The sequence below is a fragment of the Homo sapiens genome, chromosome 5 (assembly GCF_000001405.40).
Source record: "Homo sapiens chromosome 5, GRCh38.p14 Primary Assembly".
NCBI classification, from domain to species: Eukaryota; Metazoa; Chordata; class Mammalia; order Primates; family Hominidae; genus Homo; species Homo sapiens.
In genome coordinates, this window is record NC_000005.10 from 29,759,896 (window position 1) to 29,772,112 (window position 12,217).

The following is a 12,217-nucleotide window of genomic DNA, read 5'->3' on the forward strand; positions in this document are numbered from 1 at the left end:
CTGTTACAAATTTGCCTTTCTTCTTTTTTCTAATTTTTTCTTAATTAATGTATGTAAATTACTAATTTATTATTAACAGTTGCCAATGTTTCCTCACTTCTCATAGAATACATCTGGTAACTACTTTCCTACTTATAAGACTAAAAATACTCTTTAAAATTGAAAAAAATAAACTCATCTGAATATTTTATTCTAATATTTACACAGAGAGAGTAAATGTATCTTGGCTCAGAAAGAAAGTGCAATTATTTTTCAATTATTATTCTCTTCAGTTCAATAAGATTCTCCTGAGGAAAGCATTTAAAACACTTTATGAAAGTATATTACAGCTTTAGGGAGTTACTTTCTTGCATAAACAGGAGATAAGAAGGACTTATTCTTAGTTCTAAGTCTCATAAAGCATTTTGATATAATACCTCCCCTGTCCTCAGTATGTTGTAATACTTCCCATGTCCTCAGTATGTTATATAATATCAGATTCACAAAGTACACATAACCAACCAGTAGACTTAATAAATATAACCAGTCGTTGTTATAGTCTGTTAAATCATATATTTTGACTTTCAATATTTGCTAAAAAGTGCTGTATTATTTTCCAACACTGTATTAATGAGTCTAGAACCATTTTCTAATTTTACTCATTCAGAAATTTATCATTTTCATTGAATAATTTCTTGCTTCAAAGCATTTACTTCAAGCTAAAACTTTTTATGAAATATGATTAATTTTATGTATTTTATTCTAACACTAAATTAGTAATAAATAGAATTCACCAATTTCAGTGGTTGCACTGTTTTTGGAAAATAGAAAAATTATGAAATATTCTCAAAATTCAGAAGGAAAAGCACTTAAAAATTAAATTTGTCCCAACTTTTAACCTCTTATTCAACTCCAATTACTAACCTCAATCTTTCAGTCCACAGTTCAACTATATGAGGTATGCTTTTATTTTCTTACTTTACATCTGCTAATCTTTATCCATCTCATGGAAAACTTAGCTTTTTCTCCACGGAAATGACCTTTATTCTAGCCTTTGTCATTTATAATGATGATATTTCAGAAGGTTTCTTTTTATAACCACTAATACTTGACTCTCAAGCCTCAAATTTTGCGGAGATGTCAATCAGGAAATATATTGATTTTACCAACTCTCAGTGTATTCAGTTTTCCTTCAGAATTTTTGAACACGTGTAATTAAAAATCATTCAAGTTTTACTGAATTATCCTGAGCATTACCAACAAATATCTGTAAGACAAACAATAACTCTAGCAGATAGTAAATTCAATAAATAATAAAAATATACATTTCCCCCAAAATCTTTATAAGTCACATGATCCCTACAACTTTAGGGAGTGAGTCATATGATTATGAAAATACATTTTGTTCTTTTTCTATGTGTGTTTCTTATTTTTAAAAATTTTACATATAAAACATTTTTGGAAAATCTCAAATAGGAGGATAGGAAATAACCCTTTTACTTGTTATTCTGATAACATCTTCATTAAAGTCTTACTTAAGGGTTGTTGTTTTTTCTAGTTTTTCTAGGGAATATGGTGATTTTTATTTAGTTGCAATTAAAAAAAAATAGAGAGTGTCCAATGCTCACTTAATCCTAGGTAAATTTTCAATTGACTTTAAGTGGTCCAGAGAATGAAGTGTACTCCTGCTCTCATGCAAGAAACTCGAGTTCCTAATTTCATATTTAGGAGATGTTTTAAATGTTATGGATGCCAAACCATGGTTTATTCAAAGTGGGGAATTTGAGGAGAAGTCATCCAAATTTCCTTTACCCTGCTGCACTCAGGTCCTTCCACCAGAAGAACCATCTAGCCCTGCTCCACACCTGTCAGCCTCAATCTTATCTGGTCTTCAAACACTACAGAACCTGGTTTTTGGAGAAAAGCTGTCTTGCCTGTAAATCAAAGTTTTCATAGAATGTTTGTGCCTTTTTAGTGTGCGCCTTAGAGAAAAGATAATTCGTGATAAGCTAAAAATAGCTTAATTTAAACAATTTTTGTAGAAAATTTATGTATTTGGAAATTTATGTATTTATAAATAAATATATAAATTTTTTACAAAAATTATTAAAATTAAATATAGAAAAAAATTTCACTTGCCCCAGGAGAAAAAGAATGTAAAATATACAAATTTATAGTGCTTATAGTAAAAATGATAAAATCTAAAATATATCTCACCTTTTAGACAAAGTTTCAAGCCTATGTTCATGGAGAGCTCCAGATTAAATTTTCATGCAGAATTTAGGCACCAAAACCTATTATGGATGTGGGCTGTGGTACCTGTCTTGATATTGCAGTAGTAGAGCACACACAGAAGAAGAAGACACATATATTCAATATAAAAATATGTATAGAAGAATGGTAGCAATGCAGAAGAGAATAAAACCCTCCAAATCCTCACTTGTTGCCCCACTGATTTATTATGCCTTATTGCAATTATGCCCAGTCTTTCTCAGCCTTTCACATCACCAAGAACCTTGGCTGTATAAATAAAGCACTGTGATTCTTGGGTAGGTAAGGATGGATTTCTTGAGAATTCCCCTAAAAATAGGAAATCTCCATTTGCTTTCATAATCTTGTAGACTACTGAAACCATAAATCTGTTTGCTTTATATGTAAATCATAACTAAAGACAGTTAACATATTTAGAATATCATAGAGTAATACACCAGTAATTTGACCACATAGCTACTTCATCATTGTTGAGTGCCATGGACTGAACTGTGTACCCCTCAAATTACTATGTTTCAGCTCTAACACCCAGTTTGACTATATTTAGAGATAGAGCCTTCAAGGGTAATTAAGGTTAAATTAGATTATAAGGATGGGATCCTAATACAATAGGATTTGTGTCCTTATAAGAACAGATGTTAGAGAGCTCCCTCTCTCTTTCTTCTCACCACATGAGGACACAGCAAGAAGGAAGCCCAATTGCAAGCCAGGATGAAAGCCCTCATCAGAAATTAAATGCTTCTGGACCTTGATCTTGGACTTTCCAGCCTCCAGAACTATGAGAAAACAAAATTTTGTTGTTGAAGTCACCCGTTCTACAGTATTTTTTTTTTAGACAGCCAAGTAGACTAAAACATTTAGTATACCTAAATTGTACTGGAACAGTTACAAGTCCAAGATTATTTTAGTGGGGTAAGTTAAGAGAAAAACTTCAACTCTCCGAAATACTGGAAAGAAAGAGATAAATGATAAAAGAAAGAGCCTGACAGATAGATGATGGATGATGATGATGATAGATAGATAGATAGATAGATAGATAGATAGATAGATAGAATTTGCTCTGACTTAATTTTGAGCAATATTTGTAATTAAGATACGTGATTTGGCTATGGCAAACATATTAATGTGTAACTAAATACTTTTTCATGCTGTTCTCATGGGAGAATGTTATTTTATTTTTCATTTAAGCAGTATATTATTGTATTAAGTTCCTGTTGATATTACTAAAATATTAAGTTAGAATAATAAATATTTAGACATATTTAAATTTCATGATAGGCTGAACTGTTTACTCTTCAGATTTTCACTATTATGTTTACCATTTTAAGCCATGTTTTCACTGTATAGTAAAATGGCTCTGTATGTTTTGCATATACTTATATCACTGGATTTTAGAAGTATCACGGCCAACTCTTCACACTTCTGTGAAACATGGTGGATTTTCTTCTACTATCTTGATCCAGTTTGATACCCTGACTAAAGGTCAGTACGTTTCCCTTCTTGAGCAGCCAGTTTAATCAACACCACCAACCACTTGTATCATCAAGTTCTCATACTCTGGTCACTATACCTGTACCTTAATCATTACAGGTCCAGGGAATAGACAAGGGACAGCTCTTATTTCCCAGAACCCACTGAAATTCTTCAAATTAGCCCTGTCTTGCCTCTATGATTCCTTCGTGCATAAATGATGTTAATAATGAAGGTGCCTGTCAACAGTCTGCTCCCCTTTCTCTGCCTTTTGATCAGCCTTGATGCTTCAAGTATTTTATGGTAAACTGTGATCTCCCAGGGAATTGTGAGTTAATACAACTGTAAATCTCTTTCTAGTTTCTCTCCCTTGATCTGCCTCTGACCCCATCATATCTCACCCAGGTAATAGGTTTCAAACAATAATCCATCACTCTAAGATACAAATTCGCAAATGTAATTACATGCTTATTATTGCCAGGCATAGAACTTCCTACTAGCAACTCATGAGAACTCATGGATGTCACAGTCAGGCAGGAAGACAACTATTTTATAAGTAAGTGTAATATGATAAAGTTAAATCAATGGTGTGATAACCATATGTACAAATTGTTAAGTTGAAAGATAGATTACTTTAGTCTTATATTCTGAAACTTGAGATTTCAGGAGTTCAATGAATGAAAGGATGGTCAGAGTAGGCTGAAGAGTCAATTAAGAGTGGGAGAATTGTGCAAAGGCAGTCAAATCATAAATGTGCATGTTGTATTTAAAAATGACAGGTGGAATTATTTGGACTGAACATAAAAAGTAATAGATGCCATTGTGGTTTTGATTTGCATTTATTTGATGATTAGTGATGTTAATCATTTTATATAATTGTTGGCTAGTTGTCTACCTTCATTTGAGAAGGTATGTTTATGTCATTTGCACATTTTTCTAATTGTATTATTTTTTGCTTGTTGATTGATTTAAGCTCCTTATAGATTCTGGATATCAGTATTAATCAAATGCATAGTTGGTGTATATTTTCTCCAACTCTGTAGGGTGTCTGTTTACTCTGGTGGTAATTTCTTTTGTTGTGCAGAAGCTCTTTAATTTAATTAAGTCCCACTCATCTATTTTTGTTTTCGTTGAAAATGATTTTGGAGACTCAGCCAAAAATTCTTTGCCAAAGTCGATTTTGAGAAGGATATTTCCTGGGCTTTCTTCTAGCATTTTTGTAGTTTGAAGTCTTACATTGAAATCTTTAATGCATCCTCTGTTAATTTTTATATGTAATGAGAAGTAGGGGTCCAGTTTCATTCCTCTGTATATGGCTAGCCAGTTAGCCCAGCATCATTTATTGAATAGCGAGTCTTTTTTCCATTGCTTAATTTTGTCAATTTTGTCAAATATCAGATAGTTGTAGGTGTGCAGATTTATTTTTGGTTTCTCTATACTATTCTACTGGTCTATGTGCCTGTTTTTGAACCAGTGCCACCCTGTTTTTGTTATTCTTGCCTTATAGTATGGTTCGAAGTCAGGTAATGTGATGCCCCTGGCTTTGTTCTTTTCACTGAGGATTTCTTTTGCTCTTCAGGCCTTTTTTATTCCAAATCAGTTTTAGAATAGATTTTTCTGATTCTAAGAAAAATGGCATTGGTGTTTTGATAGAGATAGCATTGAATCTGTAAGTTCCTTTGGGCAGCATGACGATTTAACAATATTGATTCTTCCTATCCATAAACATGAAATGTTTTAAAATTTATGTGTCATCTTTGAATTTTTCAGCAGTGTTTTTTAGTTGTCCTTGCAGAGATCTTTCACATCATTGGTTACACATATTTATAGGTATTTCATTTTCCCTGTGGCTATTATAATGAGATTATGTCCTTGATTTGGTTCTCAGCTAGAATGCTATTGGTGTACAGAAATTCTACTAATTTTTATACATTGATGTTGTAGTTTGAAAGTTTACTGAATATATTTATCAGTTGTAGGAGCCTTTTGGTGAAGTCTTTAGCGTTTTCTTTCTAATCATATTGTCAGCAAAGAGAGACAGTTTGACTTCTTCTTTTTCTATTTAGAGGCCTTTTATTTCTTTCTCTTGCCTGATTACTCTGGCTAGGACTTTCTGTACTATATTGAATAGGAGTTGTGAGATTGGGCATCCTTGTCTTGTTCCAGTTCTCAGGAGGAATGCTTCCATCTTTTGCCCATTCAGTATGATGTTGGCTGTAAGTTTGTCAAAAATGGTTATTATCATTCTGAGGTATGTTACTTGGATGCCTAGTCTGTTGAGGGTTTTTATAAAGAAGGGTCGTTTGATTTTATCAAAGTCTTTTCTGCATCTATTGAGATGATTATATGGTCCTTGTTTTTTACTTTAAGTGGTGAATCACAGTTACTGATTTCTGTATGTTGAACCAACTTTGTATCCAAGGACTAAAGCCTACTTGATTATGGTGAATTAACTTTTTGATGTGTTGCTAAATTTGGTTTGCTTTGCTAGTATTTTCATGAGAGGATTTTTGCATTTATGTTCTTCAGGGATATTGGCCTGAAGTTTTCTTTTTCCACTGTGTCTCTGCCAGATTTTGACATCAGGATGATGCAGACTTTGAAGAATGAGTTAGGGAGAAGCCCTTTCTCCTCAATTTTTGGAATAGTTTCAGTAAGATTGATATCAGTTCTTCTATTGTACATCTAGTAGAATTTGACTGTGAATCCATTTGGTCCAGAGCTCCTTTCATTTGGCAGGTTATTTTTTTTTGTACTGATTCAATTGCCAAACTTACTGTTCTTTTCAGGTCCTCACTTTCTTCCTGTTTCAATCTTGGGAGATGAATGTTTCCAGAAATTTACCAACTTCCTCTAGATTTTCTAATTTTTATTCTTAGAGATGTTCAGAACAGTCTATGAGGATATTTTGTATTTCAGTGGAATCCATTTTCATGTCCTTTTTGACATTTCTGATTGCATTTATTTAGATCTCTTTTTATTTTTTGTTGATCTAGCTAGTGGTCTATCAATCTTATTAATTTTTAGAAATACCAATGCTTGGTTTTATTGATCTTTTGTATGAAATTTTGGGTCTCAATTTCATTCAGTTCTTCTCCGATTTTAGTGATTTCTTTTCTCTGCTGGCTTTGGGATACCATCTCACACCAGCCAGAATGATGATTATTAAAAAGAAAAAATAAGCTGATAAGGCTGTGGTGAAAAGGAAACCCTTACACACTGTTGGTGGGAATGAAAACTATTTCAGCCAGTGAGGAAAGCAGTATACAGACTTTTCAAAATATTTAGAAGTGTCATTTGACCCTGCAAACCCATTACTGGGTGTACATATCCAAAAGACAACAAACCATTCAACCAAAAAGACACTTGCACACATCATAGCACTATTCACAATAGACAAGGTATGAAATCAACCTAGGTGCCCATCAATGGTGGATTGGAGAAAGAAAATATGATATATATTCACCAGGGAATATTACAAAGCCACAAAAAAGAACAAAATCATGTCATTTGCAGCAACATGGATGAAGCTGGAGGCCATTACCGTAAGTGAATTAACGCTAAGGACAGAAAAACAAATACCGTATGTTCTTATTTATAAGTAGGGACTAAATGTAAAATACACAAAGACTTAAAGATGAGAACAATAGATGCTTAAGACTATTAGACAAGGAAGGAAGAAGGGGGAATAGTTTGGAAAACCACATATTGGATGCTAGGCTGTCTACCTCAGTGATGAGATTGTACCTCAAAACTCAGCATCACACAATATACCCATGTAACAGACTTGCATATGTACCCTGTAATCTATAATAAAAGCTGAAATTATTTAAAAGATAAAAATATTTATAGAAGATTTCAGCTGGAGTAAAGCCAATACTGTAAATTTTAATCTGATTTTTACTCCATGTTTTCTTAATCTTATTCTTGCTTTTATGTTAGAACTATTTGATGTACATTTTCATGCTTTGACCATTTTCATTTCTTCATAGTTAATTACCTGCTCATGTTTTTTAAATGTCCATAGATTTCTATATACTCAACTAACTCTTCATCTATATCTTACAAATAATTTTACCAGTAAACATATATCCTTTTTATCAGTTTTCTATACAGATTTTTTTTGTATGGAATTCATACTGAGGCAGAATTTTAAAATTGTTTTTCCCTAAATATGGAATATAATTAATTGTTTTTAATTAAAGTTAGGCATTTACATTTATGAAATTCATATTTTAAAATGATTATATTTTAATAAAAATATTTGAGATAGAATTTATTTTGATATTATCTAATAAGTGAAGATTGACTTTATTTTCTGAATTTTAAATTGTCTCATAAACTACATTATTTAAAATATAATACATATATCATGTATTGACAATTTAAAATAATAAATATTCAGATGTCTGTTTCTATACATTTTAATATTTTCTATGATATATCTGTTGAGGTTGGCACAAGTAGCCTACAGTATTGTTTTTTGTAACATTTTTCACATTTTTGATAAGACAAATATTTGTAATAATAAAGGTCACTTTCTAATTATATAAATTTTGTACAGAGATTGTTAAAATAAACAAAAAGACTTTCAATCTTCCCTAGAAGGAAACCTCATGCATGGTACAATCATGTTCATTGTGTCATGCTGGTTGATATGCAGAGCACTCTGAGAAAGACACTTGCATGGTCCAGACGCTTAATAAAAATAAGAGCAGGTAGGCCGGGCGCGGTGGCTCACGCCTGTAATCCCGTAACTTTGGGAGGCCAAGGCGGGCAGATCACGAGGTCAGGAGATCGAGACCATCCTGGCTAACATGGTGAAACCCAGTCTCTACTAAAAAAATACAAAAAATTAGCCGGGCGTTGTGTCGGGCGCCTGTAGTCCCAGCTACTGGGGAGGCTGAGGCAGGAGAATGGAGTGAACCCGGGAGGCGGAGTTTGCAGTGAGCCGAGATCGCGCCACTGCACTCCAGTCTGGGCGACAGACCGAGACTCCGTCTCAAAAAAAAAAATAATAAATTAATTAAATAAGAGCAGGTAAGGTGAAAGACTTTCAGAGAATGGTTAAGCTAGGATGTAAATAAAGAGTAGGATTTTTCAATGCAGGTGACCAAAGTTCTGGGAGTCTTCATAGGAGGGGATAAATCATAAGTGAAGGTCTATTTGAAAAGGACACACAATAAGCCTTAGAAATTAAGGAGAATGCAATAATATTGAAGTAGCAGAAGCCAGAACTGGACAGAAAAGCTGGAAAACTGAAGAATGGGCTTCTTGTCCACAGTCTAGTAGTCTATGCAAGAGATTATTATTTTTTCCATGTCATAGATTTATGGATCTTCTGCCTATATCTGGGGTAAAACTGAGGAGGATTTTAAGTATGGAAGCACAGTATCAGATTTGAATTTCTGAAGATCATTCTCATTAGGATGTGCAGAATCGATTCCAGGAGCAAAAAACAATGAGTATAGATAAAAATGTTGTTTAGGTCAATGAAGCTGTCCAAATGTGAATAAAAAATATTAAATAAAACTGGGACATACATGGGAGTTACTAGAAAAATGAATTAATGATAAATATTTAAGAGAATGTGCAGCAATAATATATGAATAACTATGAGATGTATGGTTTAAGCACTTGGGTGGATAGCTGTCCATTCACTGAGATTAAAGAGTCTAGATAAAGGTAAGATTGGGAAAGTTCAAGTTTATTATGTTAACTTTGGAGTATATTTTAGACTTCCTATGGGAACTATTAAAAATCAATTAAATAACACTAAAAATTTGTCTGCGCTAGAGAGTTGAAATAGGAAGTTTATTTTCAAGTATGTAGTAATAATGCTAGGAGAACAGGGTCTAAATGAGAGTCCTATGTGGTAGTTGGATTTTATACATGGAGGTTCCAACAAAGAAAAAGGAAATGAGCAATCTAAAACTCAGTATCATATTGTAATAAAAAAAAAAGAAAAATGTCTGGAAAGCCATATTTCAAAAGGAAGGTATGTTGGATTGTGTGTAATGCTGCTGCTTAACCAAAAAGTTGGGCCTAAAAATGCTGATGATGTTTTTTCTTTTTCTTTTCTTTCTTTCTTTTCTTTTTATTTATTTTATTGTTTGTTTTTTGAGATGGAGTCTCTCTCTGATGCTCAGGCTGGAGTGCAGTAGAGTGATCTCGGCTCACTGCAACCTCCGCCTCCTGGGTTCAATAGATTCTCCTGCCTCAGCCTCCCGAGTATCTGGGATGACTACAGGCACGCGCCACCACACCCAGCTAATTATTTTGTATTTTTAGTAGAGACGAGGTTTCACCATGTTGGCCAGGCTCGTCTTGATCTCTCGACCTTGTGATCCGCCTCCCTTGGCCTCCCAAAGAGCTGGGAGCTGGGATTACAGGCATGAGCCACCGCACCCAGACAAAAACAAAAACAAAAACAAAAACAAAACAAAAAAACTTTTTAATAACGTTTGTCTATGAAAAGGAGTGAAGAATTAGGCTACTACTAGTAAAAAGAGGTAAAATTCTAGTCTTTTTAACGTTTTATTTTGAAGTAATTTTAGATAGAGAAGAATTGCAAAGATAATACAGGTGGCATATACACACACACAGGCTTATACTTTAGAGCCTTTTGTGGTGTGGGTATGTGTGTGTGTGTGTGTGTGTGTGTGTGTGTGTGTGTGTATCAATCGATCTTTCTATCTATCCAGAAAGGGTGGGTGGTTTAAAGAGAGATACACTGGCATTTTTAAAAGCTGTTGAAAGTATCCAGTAGACAAGATGAATTAGGAAATTCAAATCGTAGTGAATATTATACGTTTTCTGAAAATATTACCACATTAAGGGCAGTAGTGGAGAAGATGGCCTTCAATGAGTAAATAAATGTAGGAGAGGAGGAAAATCCATGCATTTCTATGTAGGGACATTTGTGGATTTAGTGTTTTGAGTGTAAAGAGATTATCTCTTTTTTAATAAAAATTTGATATGTTTTACATAAAGTAGTACTTTTATAAATTTCAGCCTAGCCAGCTTTTGGTTTTTGTATCAAAATTGCCTGGTTAACATGTCACAATAAATGTATATGATTTCTTCTTCTTTCTTTTTTATTCAGTCTTGTGTCGATTATTTTTCCTTTAATGCCTCTTCCACCTCATTACATCTTCCTCCTTTTACAATCTCTTCTCTATTTAAAATGTGGAGCTGGTTCTTTTCTGTAGTAAAAAAAGAATCAGTGCCTGGAGAAAATTAATTGGAATTACCATCAACAAAGAAGGGAGTGGCTATTATTTCTAAAAGAGAAAAAGAAAAAATAGAAAAATGACATAAAAACATACTTCCTGAGCTGCCTTTTGCTGTATGTAACAGGGTAGAAAAATCTTGTCACCTTGAAGTGAAAGGAAACATGAGGCTCTCGAAGGTTTGAAAAGAAAAAAAAATAGAGCTTCTCCTTCCCCAGTGATTGTGAAAATGAGTGAGCAGAGGGAAAGAGTGGGTTTTCCAGATAATTGGAAGCAATCAATTCACAAGGCTTTTCAGGTGCGTGGATCCATGATTTTCTGTACATGCCCTCACAGCTGCCATAGACCTAGAGGCAACAGTGTGATGAATATGATTAGAAGTGAGTGGAGCTGGGACAAGACTGTGACAGAAAAAAAATAATAATAAAAGCAAAACAGTTTCAAGTACTAGCAAGTGAGGTATTGGATCAGAAGCCAAAGAATTAAAAAGGGATAAACAGAAATGAGGAGAGGGAAAAAAGCCTTATTGATGGAAAGAAATGGAAATGTCATTGGACTGGAAATCCCAGTGCAACACCGGAGTGGTGGGGCCATGGACCCCACAAGGTAAAAGATAGATGATCCAAAACTCCCTTTCCAGATGAATTTTGAAACTATGTAATCACATGTTTAAATACCAATTTAGATTTTCATTAAATGATATTAAACTTATGCATCTATGGGTGGAAAATAATATATTTACTATTAACGGGTATTGTCAGTCAAGAGCATTTTTAAATATTTCTCTTCATACAAACCGTATTTTATGTCATTTTGGCAATGTTTGGTCTTTGTTTGCAATACAAATTGCAATTGCATACACAATTCTCATTCCACTGGGTGAATATTCTGGTATTTTTAGAAAATTAAATGTTTAAGTCACCGAATTGATGACTACTACTTTAGCTATTGAGCAGAATTCAATAACAGTGACTGTATGGCCTATCAGTGAAAATGTTTTACACTGGCTATACAGATGGATCTGTCTACTTGAACTGATAATTAAATCTTATGCAGGCTTATGCTGACATATTTGCTTTTGACAGTTTAAGAAGTCAGTAGCATTCATTATTATTTGTACATTATTGATCTTTTGAATTTTAGTTTTCAATTTCACATCACGGATTAAGAAAGAAGTAGAACTTCATTCTAATAGAAATGTTGTCTTCTTTCTTCTCCTTATGGTCAGCATATTGTGAGACTAAACAAAGAGGGGAGAGCAAAAT